Source organism: Homo sapiens, chromosome 1 (genome assembly GCF_000001405.40).
Source record: "Homo sapiens chromosome 1, GRCh38.p14 Primary Assembly".
NCBI classification, from domain to species: Eukaryota; Metazoa; Chordata; class Mammalia; order Primates; family Hominidae; genus Homo; species Homo sapiens.
The window spans coordinates 218411946-218434473 of NC_000001.11; the positions used below are offsets into that span (position 1 = coordinate 218411946).

A 22528-nucleotide genomic window follows, 5' to 3' on the forward strand; every position below is an offset into this window, starting at 1 on the left:
GGCAGCCCAGATTCAAAGGGAAAGGAAATAGATCCCATATATCAATGGGAAATGTGTCAAAGAAGTTGCAGCCATCTTTAATCTTGGAACACTAACCCACTGTGTAAAGTAAAGTAATAGTCAGCCGACTGTGAGTGTGCACCTCCTGGCATCAGCATCATACCTGGTGCCAGCCATCTGGAGATAAATTAGCCTCCACCTTCTGGTTACTCAGGGTCTTGTGAAGAAATGTACATATAAGTGATATCTGTCTATGAATAAACATATACCCAAGATACTCTTAGAGCAAAAGCTGGAGAATTCAGAGAAATGCCTCAGAACTCATTCTTGCCAGAAAGGGAGTTGTGAGAATTTGCAGGCAACTTGCCATCTTGGTTGGGCTCCTTTCGTGGGCAGACATGTAATTCCAAGGAACTGAGCCATATGCCTGAATCAAGAGATTCCTTTGAACCCAACAATATTTGTTGCAGAGATATCTGAATAGATTAGATTGAAACAGGAGTGGGTTTGGTTAATTGGTATGCATAGTATTACGTCAGAACGACCTTCCTCGTGTTTCAGTGTGCGTACTCACATCCCAGGATTTGGTGACTACGTCTGTCCTCCCCGTTTACCTTATTGAGGCAGCATGGCATAGTATGCAATGGTATGGGCGTTGTGACCTAAGCTTTCTTAGTAATTCCCAATTAGCTTGGGGTTTATTATGAGGGTGAAATGAAATAATGTCTATGACGGCCAGGTGGGGAGTGCGTGTTCAACATGTGTTAGTTCCCTTCCTTTGCTGTCACTGCTTAGATTTTGACTTCTATGTCTTTGATTCCTCCAGTGGGAAGAGCTCTCTCCTAAGTTACCTGTGAAAGTCAGTTGCCAGGTTGTTTTTAAGACTGATTTATTAGCTTCAGAGCACTGAATAAAGTCATACAAAAATAACTCCCTGGGGGAAGCAGAGTGATGTATTAGGTTCATACATCTTACAATATCAGGAGAAAAAGCCACTAAAATATTGCCTTTTCCCATGGGGCTGATAGTCTCAGGTGTCTCCATGTGGTCTTCCCAGAACAGTAATCTGACTTCTTAGATGGAGATTCAAGTGTGCAAATGTCCAAGGCAGAAGCTGCAAGTCCTCTTAAAAACTAGGCCCAGAGGCTGGGCGCGGTGGCTCACACCTATAATCCCAGCACTTTGGGAGGCTGAGGCAGGTGGATTGCTTGAGCCCAGGAGTTCAAGACCAGCCTGGGCAACATGGTGAAAATCCATCTCTACTAAAAAATACAAAAATTAGCTGGGCGCGGTGGCACATGCCTGTAAACCCAGCTACTCTGGAGGCTGAGGCAGGAGAATCACTTGAACCCGAGAGGCAGAGGTTGCAGTGAGCCGAGATCACACAATCTCTGCCTCCCGGGTTGCGTCACTGTTGGCGCTGGTAGAATATCATCTGCCAATGGGTTCCTGTTAATCAGTAGAAGAGAAATGTGCTGAGGTGAATTTAAAGGGGACCTTAGATTTCTTGACTGTGGCCTGAGAAGGCATCGGCGCTGTGCATTTCTACAGAGAGGCAGGGCATCCAGCTTCAGCTGAAGCCACCGCTAGCATGGCAAAGGGACCCCTCTCTCTACAGAAAACTGTCAAGACTTTGGCAAGTGAAAGTACAGATGGTCCCCTATTTAAGATTTTTTCAACTTTGTGATGGTGTAAAAGTGACTCAACTTACTTTTGTTCATACGTATGATATCAGGACACAATCCCGTTGTAAGTCGAGGAGCATCTGTAAAATAAAATCTGCCCCCCATTTGCTCTGACCTCTTTCCTTCGGATTTTAATGTCTCATTGCATTTGCATTTAAACAGTAACCAGCTTGTCAAATGTGATGAAATGTCATTTCTAGAGGCTATCGGTTGCAAGGATATAAAACAGTGGTGAAATCCTAAGTCATTTACATCCATTTAGTTTTGTATAGTAAATATTAACTGATTTTTCAGACTTGAGGATGATAGGGTGAATTGATGTTTATGGAGCAAAATAAGTAAGGGAAGATGGTAGTGGGGGGAGTGAATCATCAGCTACCTTTACTGGACATTGCATATGTAACATCTCTGCAACAGATTTTAAAATGCACGTTCTTAAGGTTTCATAGTGAAAGTTCAGGGTAGATGGCCTAGGCCTACCTTTTAAGGGATTCTGATGCTGCAAAATTGAAAGGTGGGGTTTTTGTCATACCAGGGAGCACAGCACTAATGGGGTTAATGAAAATTGCCTCTTTTTCCTAACCCTAAACACATGTGCACACACACACACACACACACACACACGCACACACGGTTCAGCTTTCATTTCTCATATTGCCCAAGAGGGTGTAAAATAAAAAGAGGTCAGCCAAAAAACTGTCTGTTAAATTAGACTTGCAAAAATGCTACTGACAAACAAACAAACAAACAAAAAGTCATACTGTGCTCCTGTTGTACATAATTTTACAGCATACAATCTTCTTAATACTGATCCTAGCCCCGGCGCCACATTGGAGACATACATAGCATAGTAACCCACCTAAAAAAAGAATAAAAAACACCATGAGGTATAATAAACACTTTGTTTGCACAAGGCTATTAATATCTCAGGGTTTTTTTTCAAACTGATCAAATGGCGTGCTTGCCTCATAAGGAAACTGGATTGTTACCATTTGCATTAGGTTATAACATTAGTCAGCAGACAAGACCCCCCAAAAAGTAGAATGAACAGCAGACCTTCTCCACTGTATTCAAATAAATGTTAGTGAATATGCAATAGTAACTAATAATCTTATTCTTTTTTCATAATGTGACTCAGTAACAATATTGATAATTATCGCTAATACATGCAGTGATTACTGTGTGCTAAGGTAGGTACTGGTCTCATCCTTATTTTACAAGTGAGGAAACTAGGATACAGTGAAGTTCAGTAGCTTGCCCAGGCCAGGCAGGTAGGAAGAAGCAGAGCCAGGATTTGAACCCAGGCGGTCTGACCCCAGGGATCATGCTCTTGACCATGATTCCATACTAGCAGAAAGAACACAGATTTTGGAGTTGATCAGGGTGGGTGCAAGGCATAGCTTTGGTCCTTTGGGGAGTCTGAGGAAGTCATGTCACTAACACTATTTCCACACCAGTAAAATGCAGATGAAAGCACCTACTTGGCAAAGATTTTATAAGGCATAGAGATAATGCATGGAAACTTCTAGCACAGTATCTGTATCCTCAGCGGTTACTATTATTATCATTACAGTTTCCGAGCATTGAGTTTGAACTGTTGTAAGAAACAGTGTGAAATTTATGATCTGCTCAGAATCTGTTAAAAATGAATGCTTCCCCTAGCCCTTCTTGCTGTAGGGTCTGGGTTCTTGGTTGCTGTCCCAGGAGTTTGCTTCAGGGTCTCCTTCAAGAATATTTTCCACTCACTCAGCTTGTGGTGGTTCATTAAGTTGCAGATGAGCAGGCCGGGCGCGGTGGCTCATGCCTGTAATTCCAGCACTTTGGGAGGCCGAGGTGGGTGGAACACTTGAGGTCAGGAGTTTGAGACCAGCCTGGCTAACATGGTGAAACCCCATTTCTACTATAAATATAAAAATTAGCCAGGCGTGGTGGCGGGCGCCTGTAATCCCAGCTACTCAGGAGGCTGAGGCAGGAGAATCACTTGAACCTGGTAGGCGGAATTTGCAGTGAGCCCAGACTGTGTCACTGCACTCCAGCCTGGGCGACAGAGCGAGACTCTGTCTCAAAAGAAAAAAAAAAAAAAAAAAAAAAAAAGTTGCAGATGAGCATATCAGAGTGGGAAAGGAGGAGACCTTTGCAGCCAGTCAGCCCTTTCTCTGAACCTCAGTTTTTCATCTGAAACTGGAGATAACATTTCTTGCCTAATGAGTTCCTGTGAGGAGAATGCCTAGGTTAAGTGTCTGGCACACAAGATGCGGAAGGAGTAGGTTACTGTCAGGATTTTTCTTGTCATCTTGAACATGGTTCATATTTCCCCTAAGGTTGGCTTGTGATTCTAAAACCACTCAACAGTGGTGTCAGTCATCTCTGCTTGGATGTGGTCTGATCTGTTTTCTGTTAACAGTGGGACAGAGCAGGGTTTTGGGGAACAGCCATTGTTTTATCACTGTGTACATTTGCTTTATCAAGATGTTAAGGGCTGCAGTGCTGAACTGGGGGCTGTGCTCTGTCTTGCTTCTCTTTTTGAAGAGTGATTACAATGACTGACTCCAATAGGGGTGTCTTTTTATCTCATCTCCTGTCTTGTTACTACCTCTCCCTGCTCCACCACCACACAAATAGGTTTGATATATGCTTCCCAATTGATTTTTAATAAGGTTCCTTTTTTTTTTCATGTTGTAAATGTTCAGTATGCCAACTATCCTGTAACCTCCTTTAGGGCAAAAGCTGTTTCAAGGGAGCATGCATGTTTTTTTTCTCAATGCCAACAGTACTCAGGATATTTTTTGGAACCCCGTTCTAGAACTGTGGCAGAGTCCAGCATACATACTTGAGAATTCCCCAAAGGAGACAAATCTGGATTTGCGAAAGGTAGTGTTGATTTTTGAAGACTGCCAAAGTTCTATGGAAGAGGAAAATGATAAGTCATTCAGCTGATTTTACTGGTTCTTATATTTCTGAAAGTCAGCCACCTCCCATGTCTCTGCTGTTACTATGCTTGTCCAAGCAGTTCTTGTCCCTCACCTGGGCCATGGCAGTGGCCTCCTGGTTGGTCCCCCTGTTTCCACCCTGGCCCCTTGATATGGTTTGGCTGTGTCTCCACTCAATCTCATCTTGAATTCAAATGTGTTGTGGGAGGGACTGGGTGGGAGGTAATTGAATCATGGGAGCAAGTCTTTCCCATGCTGCTCTTGTGATAGTGAATAAGTCTCATGAGATCTGATGGTTTTAAATAGAGGTGGTCCCCCGCACAAGCTCTCTTTCTCTTCTCTTGTCTGCCACCATGTGAGATGTGCCTTTCACCTTCTGCCATGACTGTGAGGCCTCCCTAGCCACATGGAACTGTAAGTCCAATAAACCCTTTTCTCTTATAAATTGCCCAGTCTTGCAGCAGTGCGAAAATGGACTAATACAGTGAATTGGTATCAGTAGAGTGGGGTGCTGCTGAAAAGATACCCAAAATGTGGAAGCAACTTTGGAACTGGGTAACGAGCAGAGGTTAAAACAGTTTGGAGGGCTCAGAAGAAGTCAGGAAAATGTGGGAAAGTTTGGAACTTCCTAGAGACCTGTTGAATGGCTTTGACAAAAATGCTGATGGTGATATGAACAATAAGGTCTAGGCTGAGGTGGTCTCAGATGGAGATCAGGAACTTGTTGGGAACTGGAGCAAAGGTGACTCTACGCTTTGTTTTAGCAGAGACAGATGGCATTTTGCCCCTACCCTAGAGATTTGTGGAACTTTGAACTTGAGACAGATGATTTAGGGTATCTGGTGAAAGAAACTTCTAAGCAGCAAAGCATTCAAGAGGTGACTTGGGTGCTGTTAAAGGCATTCAGTTTTAAAAGGGAAACAGAAAATAAAAGTTTGGAAAATTTGCAGCCTGACAATGTAATAGAAAAGAAAATCTCATTTTCTGAGGTGAAATTGAAGCTGGATGCAAAAATTTGCTTAAGTAATGAGGAGCCAAATGTTAATCCCCAAGACAATGGGAAAAATGTCTCCAGAGCATGCCAGAGGTCTTCATGGCAGCCCCTCCCATCATAGGCCTAAAGGCCTAAGAGGAAAATGTGGTTTTGTGGGCCTGGCCCAGGGTCCCTGTGCTGTGTGCAGGCTAGGGATTTGGTGCCCTGCATCCCAGCCACTCCAGCTGTGGCTGAAAAGGGCCAACATAGAGCTTGGGCCATGGCTTCAGAGGGTGCAAGCCCCAAGCCTTGGCAGCTTCTACATGGTGTTGAGCCTGTGAGTGCACAGAAGTAAAGAACTGGGGTTTGGAAACCTCTGCCTAGATTTCAGAAGATGTGTGGAAATGCCTGGATGCCCAGGCAGAAGTTTGCTGTAGGGGCAGGGTCCTCATGGAGAACCTCTGCTAGGGCAGTGCAGAAGCGAAATATGGAGTTGGAGCCCCCACACAGAGTTTCTACTGGGGCACCACCTAGTGGAGCTGTGAAAAGAGGGCCACCATCTTCCAGACCCCAGAATGGTAGATCCACCAACAGCTTGCACCGTATGCCTGGAAAAATCACAAGACACTCAACACTAGCCCATAAAAGCAGCCAAGAGGGGGGCTATACCTTGCAAAGCCATGGGGGCAGAGCTGCCCAAGGCCATGGGAGCCCACTTCTTGCATCAGCGTGACCTGGACTTGAGACGTGGAGTCTAAGGAGATCATTTTGGAGCTTTAAGATTTTACTGCCCTGCTGGATTTCAGACTTTCATGGGGCCTACAGCCCCTTTGTTTTGACCAATTTCTCCCATTTGGAATGACTATATTTACCCAATGCCTGTACCCCCGTTGTATCTAGGAAGTAACTAACTTGCTTTTGATTTTATAGGCTCATAGGCAGAAGGGACTTGCCTTGTCTCAGATGAGACTTTGTACTGTGGACTTTTGAGTTAATGCTGAAATGAGTTAAGACTTTGGGGAGCTGTTGAGAAGGCATGATTGGTTTTGAAATGTGAGGACATGAGATTTGGGAGGGGCTGGGGCAGAATGGTATGGTTTGGCTGTGTCCCCACCCAGATCTCATCTTGAATTTCCATGTGTTGTGGGAGGGACCTAGTGGGAGGTAATTGAATCATGGGGGCAAGTCTTTCCCATGCTGTTCTCGTAATCGTGAATAAGTCTCATGATATCATGATAAGTCTCATGATATGATGGTTTTAAAAAGAGGCATTCTGCTACACAAGCTCTCTCTCTTTGTCTGCTGCCATGCACTTAAGATGTGACTTTCTCCTCCTTGCCTTCCATCATGATTGTGAGGCCTCCTCAGCCAAGTGGAACTGTAAGTCCAATAAACCTTTTTATTTTGTAAATTGCTCAGTCTCAGCTATGTCTTTATCAGCAGCATGAAAATGGACTAATACACCCCCTCAGCAGCTGTTTACAGCATAGCAATCAAAGTGATTCCTGATAAAATATTGGTCAGATCAAAGTCTTCTCTTTAAAGCTCTACAGTGGCTTCGTATCTCACCCTGAGTAGAAGCCAAGTCCTTACCATGACTTAGGAGGCTGGCTCTGACCTGTTCCTTAGTCACCCACCCCTCAGCCATAATTTCCCCCTCATTCATAGGGCTCCCCCATTTGTCAATGACCTCTTTGCTCTTCCTCAGACACTGCACTCACTCCTTCCTGTGGCTTGTGGCCACTGTTCCCTCCACCCACAGTGCTTTTCCCAACTACCCATATGGTTGGTTCTCTTTATTTCTTTAGGTCTTTCCTTAGAGACCACCTGCTCAGGGAGACCTTCTTTGGCCACCGTACCTAAGATCTCAGAGTCGCTTTTCCCAACACATCCTAGCCCCAATGTCTACTGTGCTTTTCTCCTTGATAATCTTCATTATCTGCCATATTTGATCTATTCCATCTTTATGTTGTTTATAATCTTATCTCTACCTCTAGCCATAAACTACTGGAGATGTGTCTGGTCCACAGTGGGTGTTCAATAAGTGTTTTTTAATGAATTTAACTAAAATGTCAAAATAAGATTCAACTATAAGGAATGTCCTTCAAATAAGTATGTAACTTATAAAGGGGATTCTGTTGAGAAACATCACTCATTTATTCGGATTTGGAAATTCTGCTCCATTTGTTTTAAAGATATCTAAATATTGATGAAGAAAGAAATGTATATAACTATGCATCTTCTGTGACTTATTCAGAGCTAATTCTGATGAAGTATTTAATATTAATAGATAATAACCATGTAGGTAAAAAAATAAAATAAAATTATGTAATAAATTAATGAAACTGATATTCTTGGGTACCCCATAAACTTGATGTTTTCAGAAAAAACAAGCTCTTTATTTATTTATTTGGGCTTGTTAGTTTATAGTCACATGCCCTAAATTAAAGTGCTCACTTAAATTATAGTACAGGCCACATATGTTATAGGTGCCAGGAGGTAGGAATCAAGTTAGAAGTCTACTCCCCAAGTTCACATGTGTTAGTGTTAAAGTCAGAGTGGAATTGGAAGGGGGAGGTCAAATAAAAAATTAGAAGATATGGCTCCAGAGAGCTTGAGGTCTTGTGGACAGTCTTTCCCTCAATGGCAGGAAATAGGTAGGTCATTGTCAAAATTTATACTGCTGGGCTGTGTGGTACAGCCTCAAAGACTGTAGGAATTCAGCTAAGAAAAAGACAGTACAGTCTTGATTTAATTCTCCTTCAAATTCTACCATTACGTATTGTACTGCACCCCTCTCTCGCCTGGTCTATACTGATGTGGCTTTAGTCCAGTTGAATCCTTTTCTCTTTTGTGTGATTTATACCTGATGGTCTCATGAATGCTACTGAGCTGCAGCATCTGACAGACTTTCTGTTCACACAAAGGACTCCTTCATCCCTTCAACCTGGAGAAATGGATTTACTTGTTTATGCACATGTGCATTCAGCACAAAGGTTCATCTGTAAAGTTTTTTTTTTTAATGAAGGAAACAATAGGGAATTATAAGGTATTTCATCACAGAGGAGAGACTTTTCTGTGTGTGTGTGCATGTGTGTTGTGTGCGTGTATGTGTGTATGTGTGTAACTTGAAGGCACATCTAGTGACATTTCCATAAAGGTCATCAAAGGTCTGCGTATGCCATACTGTATCATAATTTCACATGGGTATGTATAATACAGGTGTATATCAATGTGTAATACTCTGTACTGTAAAGCGAAAGAGTTCACGTAGTGATGTAATAATGTAGCTATCTGAGCTCCAAAGAGACTTGTATTCTCAGTCTTCTGAGGCTGATATGTATTCCACGGGAGCTGACTGAAGGCCCTCGTGAAGCTCTTGCCAGGTATACATTACTTACGACCTCTTAGACAGATGCAATTATAAAGGAGCCATGACAATTACAGGACATGGTGATGGCAGAAGCAAGGTAAGTACTGGGTGTGTTAAGCCACTTCTGAAGGATAATCATGCAGTGTGTCGGTGTGGTAGGCACCCCCAAAGTGACCCAGCATAATCAAGGAGGCTACAGTTAGACAGGAAGAGAGAGCTCCATTTGTGCCTCCTTGAAATAAAAGCCACTGTACCCAGTTCTGATTCTCTATAAAGCTCCACTGGCTATTATTTGGAAATTCTCTTTCTTGCTTTCTCTCCCTCATTTCATTTTTATAATGAAATAAATAGAAAGGGTAAAATACAGTATTAAATTGCTTATTCTGTCTGATAATTCTTTCTGTCCTTCTTGATATATATAATCTCTGTGGTGGGTTTCTGGATGTGTTTAAAATTCCAAGAAGCAGTTTTTTTTTTTTTTTATCACTATAAAAGACCGATTGTTCAGGGGCTTATTTGTCACTTGATCAAATGTGTCTTTCTAATGAAGTCTGTTAACTAATAAGAATATACCAAGCAGGGATTGGGTAAGCTGCCATGAAAAATACTCTGTGGGGGTAATAAGAGAGAGAAAGAACATTTTTTGCTTTGAAGGAGCTCATAGTTAGATTGAGCATTATACTCCCCACAGTATAATTTATGAATCACTACTGTTAGAAGTGGGATTGTGTCCCTTCCCCTACACATAAAAAAAAGATATGTTGAAGTCATAATCCCCAGTACTTTGGAATGTGATCTGATTTGAAAATAGGCTCATTGCAGATATAATTAGTTGAGATGAGGTCATCCTGCAGGAGGGTGGGTCCCTAATCCAGTATGACTGGTGTCCTTATAAAAAGACAGCCATGTGAAGACTCAGTCACAGGGAGCCTGCCATGTGAAGATGAAGGCAGAAATTGAAGCTATGCAACTATAGCCAAGGAACACCAAAAATTGCCAGCAAACCACCAGATGCTAGAAGAGGCAAAGAAGGATCCTCCCTGGAGGCGTCAGAGAGATCATGGCCCAGCCAACACCGTGATTTCAGACTTCTAGCCCCCAGATTTGTGACAGGATAAGTTAGTGTTATAAGTCACCCAGTTTGTGGTACTTTGTTACTACAGTTCTAGGTTACCCATACACCTATCAAGCCAACTCTCCCTAAATCCTAGTATATATTGTTAGAAAAGATAAAAGGGCACTGAAGAGAGAGGAGGATGCCTTCCTTCCTTCCTTCTTTCTTTCTTTCTTCTTGTTTTTTTTGTTTTTTTGTTTTCTTTTTTTTTGTTTTTGACAGAGTCTCGCTCTGTCACCCAGGCTGGAATGCAGTGGTACAATCTTGGCTCGCTGCAGCCTCAACCTCCCAGGCTCAACAGATCCTCCTGCCCCAGCCTTTTGAGTAACTGGGACTACAGATGTGCACCACCATGTCCAGCTAATTTTTAAAAATGTTTTCATAGAGGTGAGGTCTCATTATGTTGCTCAGACTGGTCTCAAACTTCTGGGCTCAAACGATCCTTCCATCTCAGCGTCCCATAGTGCTGAGATTACAGGCGTGAGGCACCACGCCTGGCCTTGTTCTCCCTTCTAATGAACCAGCACATCCCTATTACCTGGACTGTGTTCTCTTAGTGCTGGTTTTTTGGATGTTCATAGTCATCCTTTTACACTCTCCTCTCTACAGGAAATCTTCCCTGACCTCATCTACCTGGCAAGGATAGATGCCCTGCCTGTAACATTTCCTGGTAACCTATGAACACATCGTTTTAAGTTTTTGTTGAGATGTCTATATTCCCTTACTACCCAATGCACTCCTTTAAGAACAGGCACCATCTTATTATCCTGGGGTATACGTATAATGCAATGCTTTGCTTACAGCCAGTGCTTAATATTTGTTGAACTAAACTGGAGGAAGTGAGGTATAAAATAAAATCAAACAAATGAATAAATGAGGACTCAAGTGCATACAAGATGCTCGGCAATGAATGAATGACTGAACAAACAAATTAACTGATCATATTAAATATTTGAATATTATTAGTTATTATTATTACTTTGAATGAGGGTAAAAGGCTCCTCCAAAGCCAATGAAAGCCTTCCAGAGTATGGATGTGGGAGTGATGTGTTGGAGAATCATTTGTTCCTGCTGTAGGTAAGCCAAGAAATGCTCACAAGAGTGTGTTCTCTGTGCCTGTCTGCCTGAGAGAAAATCTTGGTCTTTAATAACACGGTTTTGACCTAGAGAGTCAGATTTCTCCAAAATTAATCAATGAATATGTATTCTACCAGTGTCAGCAAACCAAAATATAAGGGTTTGTGGGGATTTAAATAAGTTTATGTTTCCCTCTCTCTTGTATGGGCTTAATATTCTATTGGAGGAAATGGACATTTCCACACATCCAGGATTACCCTTGAAGCCACTATGCGCAAGGGACCACATGCTCAGCAAATCCCGTAGCATTGCATGGGGAACTAGGGAAAGGGACCTGACTTTAGTTTAGAGTGAAAGTAAGCATGTCATTGAAAAACTGGGCTTCAAGTTTGGATTAGAAGAGTGGAAAGGCTTGTTTTGTTTTGTTTTTTAGGAGAAAACTGGAGGAGGGAAAGGCATTCTGATAGGGTTGCTAGTTAGAAGCCAAAGTTTGGAAGTTTGGAGTATATAATCCATGTTTTAGAGATATTGTTTAGATTAGGCTTCTAGGGATGAAAGGCGCGTGTGAGATGATAGGTTGGTGGCCAGTTGTGTTATCAATACTGAACTAAGGAATCTGGAGTTTATTCACTAGGCATTAGAAGCCTCTGAAAGTTTTTGACAAGGTAGGGAACATAATCATAACAATAACTCACACGTATTGAATACCAGGCAATGTGACTGATGCTCTCCCTACTCCGTGACACTTAATTTTCTCGACAAACATACAAGGTGCGTTTTACTATTCCTTTTCATTGATGAGAGAATTATAGATCCAGTAAGCCATAGTTTAGGCTTGTCTGACTCCAAAGCCTCTGCACCTTTTCGCTACGCTAATGATTTTCAAAGGCACTTGGCACAGCCCTATGGCTTCTTCAAAGAACTCTAAGGGACCACTGAGTAAATGGAATGGATTGATTGTCAGGTGGCCCAGATGGCCAGGACCCTTAGTCAATGAGTGAAATTCCACTTTTTTCTGCTGTATACCCTGCATATCACAGAGTGTTGATTTCAGAAATGGCCACCAGGAAGGAGGTAACTAAGAAGCCAGCAACAGGTTCTGGTTTTGGCCTTATGATTTTAACATTGTTATCACCAACATGATGAAGACATTGGCTGCACTGTTGCTAGTGCTCTGTGGCTCCGAAGAGTAGCTTATACATTGAATAGCAAACTGAAAATTCAGAGAGATTCCAAAAGGCTAAAACTTGGGTCAGATAATAGAGTTCAACATTAACAGATATATATGTGTAATTTGCATTTATGTTTGAAAAATGAATTATATAAATACAGGCTACAGCAGTGGTTCTCAGAGTAATCCCTGGTTAGCAGCTTCTACATCACCTGGGAACTTGTTAGAAATGCAGATTCTTGGGCCTCCACCTCATCCTATTAAATCAGAGGCTCTGGGGATGGGGCTTAGCAATCTGTGTTAATGAGCACTCCAGATGTTTCTGAAGCAGGCTAACATTGGAGACCACTGGGCTAGAAAGACCAACCCTCCTCCCTTCTTGCTTTGCATTATTTCTTTCTCTTTATTCCACCTCATTCCAGAAAGGATTTGGAGTGGAAAAATCTGACTTAACAACAGTTTGTGAATAAGAACAAAGGTTTTATTTTACAAAAAAATTTCTGTGACTCAATGATGTGTTGTGGCTGCTGCCAAAAGTAAATAGTTTGCATTAAAAGTAGTGACCAGAACAAGGGAAGCAATAGCTACTCCCCTCTTCACATTTGACAGGTTCTGTATATCTCCATATTCTGTTAGACCATATCTGGAGTTTGTTGAGGAACTAATTTTAAGAAGACATTGGAAAGGGTTTTAACAAGGATGGTGACACACCTTGAACTTTTGCCTTAAAGGGATCAGTTGAGGGAAGCCACCTCTTGTGACTAGAGCCTGACATGGAAAAGAAAGAATTTTACATCTTGCTCCAGAGGGCGAAAAACAATATTGGAAAGCCTTCTCCACTGGTATTAAGAGGGAAAGACATTAGTCCAGGCTCTTCCTGAAGGGCTTTGTTAACACACCTAAGTGCTTCAGGCTTCCGTTTTTTGTTTGTTTGTTTGTTTGTTTTTGTTTTTTATTTAGTTGGAGTCTTGCTCCATCACGGAGGCTGGAGTGCAGTGGTGTGTTCTCGGCTCACCACAAGCTCCGTCTCCTGGGTTCACGCCATTCTCCTGCCTCAGCCTCCCGAGTAGCTGGGATTACAGGTGCCAGCCACCACGCCCGGCTAATTTTTTGTATTTTTAGTAGAGACGGGATTTCACCGTGTTAGCCAGGATGGTCTTGATCTCCTGACCTCATAATCTGCCCACCTCAGCCTCCCAAAGTGCTAGGATTACAGATGTGAGCCACCGTGCCCGACCTGGTCTTCTGTTTCTTTTAGAATGCAGATAATAAGGGCCATGATGTTCATCCCACAAGATTTCTGTGAAGGGCTAAAAACATGGCAAAAAGTTCAAATATTTGAAAAACTACAATGGTTGTACAAATATGAGGCAATGGCGCTATTATTAAGGAAGACTAGTTGATGGAAATTTTAAGTCCAAGATAATGGAGAATCTCAACAATATGGATTGTCCAAAAGGGGGACGACCTTTCTCATTAAATAGTGAGTTCACGGTCATGAGAGGCCTTTAGACAAAGAGATGTTAGAGAATGAACTGTATGGGATTGAAGCAGATGGTTTCAAAGTGCCTTGCCAATGCCAGTATTTCATAATGCTGAAGTGAATGACTTGAGGTCAGGCAGATCTGAGAGACTCGTGCTCACAGCCAGCAGAGTGAATGTTTGATTCATCATTTGTTCATCACTACTTGCAAGTCACTGCAAACATTTAAAACATTTAAATACATTTAAACACTGAACACACTTAAAGATATTTAATGATTAAACATATTTAAAGCGTTAAAAACATTAAATGCATTTAAAAACAAGATGGGCCCACACTAATGAACCTGGTGTCAATTTTTCTCTACAGCACTATAGTTAAATTCCCTTTGCATTAGAAGTCTGATTGAATAGCCCCATGGTCTCCTGTGGATCTGTTGATGTATGAATTTGGAAAGTAACATTGAATTCCCAATGCTTTCTTATAACTCTTTGCAATGTCTCATAGACGTGTAAGAGATGTTGCCCTTAGTGTCTAACCCAAGTCCTGAGTTGTTTTACAGCATTTTTATTTTAAGGTTAAGATTTCTTCTGGCTATAATTTTGCATCTAGACTTCTACTTGTTTTTTCCCCCCTCAAACTATTGGGTAACATCAGTGACTTTCACCTTTATCCACTGCCCAGTTGGCTGCTTTCCAATGGCAGAGAAATGAATGGATGCTTTTGTGTAGGGAGTTGTGTAATTCAATGAAGAGCTTGGAGCCTTGCTGAAGGCGATATGTGGGTATTTCACACATATTATATCTAATGATTATATATCAGTAATGTAATGAAGGTGGCATTCAAACATCACTGTGGGTGGCAGCTAAGCCAAAGACAGCTAAATCTTATTTTTAATACATGAGAAGCCCCCTTTTCTAATTCAATCAGAAACAGTTGTTGGTCAGTTAAAGATTAAAAAATCAGTTAAAGCCAGGGATTAGAAAAACATAGGAGAGAGAAACAGAAAGAGAGAGATGCAAACCTTAAATTTTTAAAACTTAAAACAAATATATATGTATGTACATATGGATGTATACATACACATTCACATGCTGAGGCTGAGTTCTTTTTGTGAAAGGCCAAGGACTTTTCTTTGACATGGATGTGCCAATTACCAATCCATGTCATTTTGTTTTGTATAAATCACATTTATAGTGCATCATCTACAATTTCTATTTTTATTTTTCTGAAGTAGAGATGTTTAAGGACAATTGCTGAGCAACCTGAGTGTAGGATTCTTCTAACTTTTTATCGTATTATTTCTTCTGTAGCTGTCTCTCTCACACCTAAAATTAGAAAAAAAATTATTGTGATAAAATATACATAATATAAACATTACAGTTTAACCATCCTTTAAGTATACAAGTCAGCAGCATTAAGTACATTCACCACAATATTGTATAGCCATCACCACTATCCATTTCTAGAACTTTTTTTATCGCCAGCAGAAACTCTGTACCCATTAAACAATACCTTCTAATTACCTTCTACACCCCTACTAACCTCTAACCTCTATTCTGCTTCTTTTTTTTCTTCTTATTTATTTATTTTATTATTATACTTTAAGTTCTAGGGTACATGTGCACAATGTGCAGGTTTGTTACATATGTATACATGTGCCATGTTGGTGTGCTGCACCCATTAACTTGTCATTTACATTAGGTATATCTCCTAATGCTATCCCTCCCCTCTCCCCCCACCTCAGGACAAGCCCCAGTGTGTGATGTTCCCCTTCCTGTGTCCAAGTGTTCTCATTGTTCAATTCCCACCTATGAGTGAGAACATGCGGTGTTTGGTTTTCTGTCCTTGCGATAGTTTGCTGAGAATGATGGTTTCTAGCTTCATCCATGTCCCTACAGAAGACATGAACTCATCCTTTTTTTGACTGTGTAGTATTCCATGGTGTATATGTGCCACATTTTCTTAATCCAGTCTATCATTGATGGGCATTTGGGTTGGTTCCAAGTCTTTGCTATTGTGAATAGTGCCGCAATAAACATTCGTGTGCATGTGTCTTTATAGCAGCATGATTTATAATCCTTTGGGTATATACCCAGTAATGGGATGGCTGGGTCAAATGGTATTTCTACTTCTAGACCCTTGAGGAATTGCCACACTGTCTTCCACAATGGTTGAACTAGTTTACAGTCCCACCAACAGTGTAAAAGTGTTCCTATTTCTCCACATCCTCTCCAGCACCTGTTGTTTCCTGACTTTTTAATGACTGCCATTCTAACTGGTGTGAGATGGTATCTCATTGTGGTTTTGATTTGCATTTCTCTGATGGCCAGTGATGATGAGCATTTTTTCATGTATCTGTTGGCTGCATAAATGTCTTCTTTTGAGAAGTGTCTGTTCATATCCTTTGCCTACTTTTTGATGGGGTTGTTTGATTTTTTCTTGTAAATTTGTTTAAGTTCTTTGTAGATTCTGGATATTAGCCCTTTGTCAGATGGGTAGATTGCAAAAATTTTCTCCCATTCTGTAGGTTGCCTGTTCACTTTGATGGTAGTTTCTTTTTGCTGTGCAGAAGCTCTTTAGTTTAATTAGATCCCATTTGCCAATTTTGGCTTTTGTTGCCATTGCTTTTGGTGTTTTAGACATGAAGTCCTTGCCCATGCCCATGTCCTGAATGGTATTGCCTGGGTTTTCTTCTAGGGCTTTTATGGTTTTAGGTCTAACATTTAAGTCTTTAATCCATCTTGAATTAATTTTTGTATAAGGTGTAAGGAAGGGATCCAATTTCAGCTTTCTACATATGGCTAGCCAGTTTTCCCAGCACCATTTATTAAATAGGGAATCCTTTCTCCATTTCTTGTTTTTGTCAGGTTTGTCAAAGATCAGATGGTCGTAGATGTGTGGTGTTATTTCTGAGGGCTCTGTTCTGTTCCATTGATCTATATCTCTGTTTTGGTACCAGCACCATGCTTTTTTGGTTACTGTAGCCTTGTAGTATAGTTTGAAGTCAGGTAGCATGATGCTTCCAGCTTTGTTCTTTTGGCTTAGGTTTGTCTTGGCAATGTGGGCTCTTTTTTGGTTCCATATGAACTTTAAAGTAGTTTTTTCCAATTCTGTGAAGAAAGCCACTGGTAGCTTGATGGGGATGGCACTGAATCTATAAATTACCTTGGGCAGTATGGCCATTTTCACGATATTGATTCTCCCTATCCATGAGCATCTTTTTTTTTTTTTTTTTTTTTTTTCTGAGACAGAGTCTTGCTCTGTCAGCCAGGCTGGAGTGCAGTGGCACGATCTCAGCTCACTGCAACCTCCGCCTCCTGGGCTCAAGCAATTTTCCTGCCTCAGTCTCCCGAGTAGCTGGGATTACAGGTGTGTGCCACAACACCCAGCTAATTTTTGTATTTTTAATAGAGACGGGGTTTCACCATGTTGGCCAGGCTGGTCTCAAACTCCTGACCTCAGGTAATCCACCTGCCTTGGCCTCCCAAAGAGCTGGGATTACAGGCGTGAGCCACTGTGCCTGGCCTATTCTGCTTTTTATCTCTATGAATTTGCCTATTTAAAGTACCTTTTGTAAGTGGAATCACAATATTTGTCCTTCTGTGTCAGCTTATTTCACTTAGCATAATCCTCAGAGTTCATCCATGTCATGTAGCATGTGTCTGAATTTTATTCTTTCTTATGGCTGAATAATATCTTAGTGGATGAGTGTACTACATTTTGTTTATGCATTCATCTCTTGATGAGTACTTGAATTTTTTCCCACCTTTTGACTATTGTGAGTAATGCTGCTATGAACATTGATGTATAAGTATTGCTTGAGTGCCAGCTTTCAGTTCTTTTGGCTATATATCTTAAGAATGGAATTTCTGGATCATGGGGTAATTCAATGTTTGCCTTTTTGAGGAACTAGCAAACTGTTTTCCAAAAAACTTTCTTTCCTATAGGAACTTGTCTTTATGAAGACTTTCCAAGACAGTCAACTGGCTTTCGGAGAAGAAACAGCTCTCTTTACTTTTGGTCCTGCATTTCATCAGTTTCTAGACCATTTAATTAACTTGCATAATTACAATAACAAGTCCAAGTGTCATAAGCAGGTTTAGAAATGTATATCATTTCATGCTTTCTAGGGAAAAAAAGAAATGTATAAAATTGATATTTGTTAAGCATACAACTCAACTGGTAAGAGTGGAAGTGCTTGGAGAGTAACTTTCCCCAATGATCCCCAGTGTGCTTTGGGCATCAGCCAATATATATTATAAAACACAGAATTAATGGAGAATGCTGGTTACTCTGGCCAGTTAAGGGGAGGCCAGTTAAGAGAGCTTCTACTATTCAACTAAATTATCTTTGTCATGATAAGATACATAAAGAGGCCGGGCGTGGTAGCTCAAGCCTGTAATCCTAGCACTTTGGGAGGCTGAGGTGGGTGGCTCGAGACCAGCCTGGGCAACATGGCAAAACCCCGTCTCTACTAAAAATATAAAAAATTAGCCGGGCATGGGTGGCGCACACCTGTAGTCCCAGCTACTCCGGAGTCTGAGGCGAGAGAATCACTTGAACCCTGGAGGCGGAGGTTGCAGTGAGCCAAGATCACACCACTGTACTCCAACCTGGGTGATAGAGTGAGACCCTGTCTCAAAAAAAAAAAAAGTATAAAGAAATTTAGAAGCAAATGACTCATGAATCTAGAAAAACAATTAACAGCTACATATCCACAACTACTAACATTCAATACTCTTGTTGTTTGGAGACCTGAGAAAGACAGACAGCAAAGGCTAAAATAGAATGGGAAGTTGACTGATCTGGTCACTTCCTGTATAAACTTTTGAATGTAAGCAGCAGGTTGATTTTCCATGCCTTCTTCTCTTACAGTTCAATTTAGTGTGGGTGATAAATGGGAGATAAACAGAGGATAGTGAGGTTGTGCCTATTCTTAGGAAGAAGATACCTTTCAAGTTAAGATTCAAGACTTTACGATGTGATTAGAAGGTTTTCTAGATAGTTCTGAAGCAAAATCATGAAGCTGTAGGAGGAATACTTTTATATAGCATCATTCATCCTTGTTAGCAACCCAAATGATTAAAGGTTTGGGAAATTACACCTTTAAATATGGTCTAAAGGAACTGGGTTTATTTAGTTTAGAGAAAGCAAGCAAGCACGCTGAGGGGGACTTAATCATAGTCTCCAAGAATATGAGGGATATTCTCTGAGTGATGGAAAGCAGCTGTTTCCTGTTTCCACTAAGGACTGGATAAGAAGAATGGAGTTAACATGCAACAAGTGGGTTAAGAACTCTTTGGCCATGAAGTTCAAGACAACAAATCCACCAGACAAAAGTCGCTACTGTGTTTGAGAATTATGTAGCTAACTAACTGTATTTCTTGGGTGGTTTATATGTGGCCTGTTCATGAGTCTGGAGCTAGTGAAAAAGATCCAGAGGACCTTTCACCCAAGTGAGAGGATGAGATTGTCTGTTTTCTGAGCCTACCAGTGCTCTGTGGTTGAGGAAGCTCTTATCGTAGTTCTCCTAGTAGGATTTAAAAGAGAAAAAGCTTCAGAGTCTCTTTGCTGCTCTTTGGACTCTTTCCAAGTAAGATAATCTAAATGTACTCCTTTTCTATAAGGTGGAAGATTTATATAGATTTGGCATTATGTGTCTTTTCTGCTTATTTGGTCGATATGGCCATAATTTTTAAAAATTCTGTGTCTTTAGTGAAACTGGACATATATATACACACATATATACATGTATATGTATGTATATGTCATAGACATTTGACATGTATATCATAAGTAATTAATTCAGCAATGGAGACAATGTTTAGTTCTAGGTAGTATGTCTAAATGTTAGCTATGTGAATAAGATAATACACTGTGCTAATTAGCAGCACAGAAATATGCAAAGCATTTTGTAAAAATGCACTGTTGCAGATTAGCTAGGGGAAGAATTTAGAGACAAAACGATGAGTTCTGTGAATGTTACCAGTTTTTAGTCAATGAGGCAGATCAGAATGCCTGAAAACTGCTTCTCAACCATTGTTTTTCTTATTCCTGTTCCATAGTAGGTTAATTATACCATTTATTCAGAATTAGATAAGTGATGTCTTACTTTCCCAACTGGGAGTATTTTCAAGGCAAGGTTTGATTCCTAGGAGATGGACTGCTATTAAGCTGTATCTTTAAAGCTGTAGCTTTATGCCAACATTCATTGTGTATACGTTCCACTATCTTATATTTTCATCTTGTACCAGCATTTATTTTAATCTTATTTAAAAATCTTTGCCTCTGTCATTGAATGTTTTCTTGACTCAATAACTTGTTTGGCCTTTAAAAATCCAGCACTGAAGTGGGAAAATGACTCGGGATTGAGTTGGATCATCTCTTCACACTTGTTCACTGGGAGGCATTGGGCAAGTTAGTTAACCTCCTTGAGTTTGCTTCCTTAATCTACCCTACAGGAACATTTTGAGGATTAAATAAAATAAAATAATGCATGCCAAGCCCAGAGCGTAGTGTACCCAGCCCTCAAGTCATGTTTATCTGCTTTCTTTAATTCGCAAAGAACATTTCTTACCTATCATAGAGCCATTGTTGCCTCCACATTCTCTTCTTTTAGTGGAGGTTTTGGACCACAGGGGCAGATCTGTAGAATAAGTCTTGTGTAAAATTCATGAGGGCACCCAAGGGTCTAATTGTATGAATCTCCTTCCTTTTCTATATTTACTTAATCCAGAAAAAAGTCTACCATTATGGCAAGTATTTTAGGAAGCGTCTGTTGCCAAATTACCTGAAACAAATCATGTACACACATGGAAGGAAAGTACATTTTCAGATGAGTGGAAAGATGATGCATTTTTGTTTTACAAGGTTTAAAGGATAGTTAATAAATCTTCTAGATACTGAAATAAACATTTAATAGATATTGATTCAATTGAGTGCTATGGTTTGAAACGATATCAAATTGAAGACATGATCCCTGACCTGGGAAGTTTTATGAATTTGCTGGAGAGACCAAGCCCATAGGTATGGAATGACCACAAAACAGAGTAGTACAAAAATCCGGAAGAGTAGTACAAAAATGACAGCTTGAACCCCTAAGTACTGAGGAAAGGCAGCATACAGGGTTTCAGTAGGGATTTACTATAGTAGACTTAGAATCATGATTTAGTTCCTAAAACCACTATCATTTCAAAATAGAATTTTTTTAAAACCACCTAAAATATTCACTTCCTTTCGAAACCTAGGAACATACTACAGTTGCGCTTTACTCATTTGAGATAAATACACCTTTCTTGAAATGTTAACTTTTTCTTTATTTTTTTTGTTTTTGAGAGGCAATCCCACTCTGTCACCCAGGCTGGAGTGCAGTAATGCCACCTCGGCTCACTGCAACCTCCGTCTCCCGGGTTCGGGTGATTGTCCTGCTTCAGCCTCCCGAGTAGCTGGGATTACAGGCGCCCACCACTGTGCCTGGCTAATTTTTGTGTTTAGTAGAGACAGGGTTTTACCATGTTGGCCAGGCTGGTCTTGAACTCCTGACTTCAAGTGATCCGTCCAACTCAGCCTCCCAAAGTGCTGGGATTACGGTGAGCCACCACGCCCAGCCTGAGATAAATACATCTTCCTAAAGCCTCAGTGTTTAGGCTGGTTTGCTTTCAGATATTCATCTATGCACCATACCAAACTACTTCTGCTGAGATTCATTCTGAGTCTGCAGGGGATGGAATACCTTTATAAATCATAACAAATCACATTAAGAGTAAAATATCCCAGCTAGGGACTTACCTCAAAAGCTGAGGCATGACACATATTTTAATGGCAATGGATTTGGAAACCAAGGTTAGGACCGTTCTTTCTTTATTAGAAGGAGATTTATAATTCAGGGCCTTTGAGAGTGAGCCTGGGTCCTCTGAACTGGACTTCTCCTCTTGTCCCTTCCTGTACCCCAACTCCCCAAATTAAATAAGTAGGGAAGCAGAACAAGAAAACCATTAACTTAATAGCATAGAATTTATGGCTGAAATCTTGCAAAGCTTATGTCAGCAAAGTAAAATAATTACTGTCACTTTCTTTTAGACACTTGGCTTTATGGTTCCTGTCACCTTTATCATAACATGCAGCTGATTTAGTAGCTATTTTTTCATGGCAAATAGCCTGGTGTTGTGTTTTTATGCATGTGACCATGCAATTGAGATGACAATGCATGGCTATACTACAGTAGAGCTAAATTTAGGTAATGAATTAGAACACTGTTAATAGTTTTGGTTTAGTCATGCTGTCAGAATGCCAACTCAGCCTTTTCTCTTGCTCTTTTTCCCCTCCAGATTCTCAAGTCCAAAGATTTAACATCTCCAACCCAGCGCTACATCGACAGCAAAGTTGTGAAAACAAGAGCAGAAGGCGAATGGCTCTCCTTCGATGTAACTGATGCTGTTCATGAATGGCTTCACCATAAAGGTTACAAGCCACTCTCTCTTTTCCTCCCAAGATGTTCAGTATCCCTAAGTTACTTTAAATTGATTGCAGATTTAAGGGTATAGACACACATACAAATGACCTCCTTGACTTAATGTTTTCCAGACAGGAACCTGGGATTTAAAATAAGCTTACACTGTCCCTGCTGCACTTTTGTACCATCTAATAATTACATCATCCCAAATAAAAGTGAAGAACTAGAAGCAAGATTTGCAGGTAACCAAAACTTGGTCATATGAGG

General features: G+C 40.8%; 1 protein-coding gene across 4 annotated transcripts in view; it reads left to right on the forward strand.

Moving 5' to 3' along the window:
• The window catches only part of TGFB2 (transforming growth factor beta 2), a 99284-nt gene that overhangs the window by 66610 nt on the left and 10146 nt on the right, over window positions 1–22528 (forward strand). For all 4 annotated transcript variants that reach the window (NR_138149.2, NR_138148.2, NM_001135599.4 and 1 more), the window contains 2 exons: window positions 22137–22269; window positions 22393–22503. Coding sequence is in view for 2 of the 4 variants with exons in the window: in NM_001135599.4 (NP_001129071.1) it covers window positions 22137–22269; window positions 22393–22503 (244 nt within the window). In the remaining 2 variants the exon portion in view is untranslated. The remainder of the gene's footprint in view (window positions 1–22136; window positions 22270–22392; window positions 22504–22528) is intronic.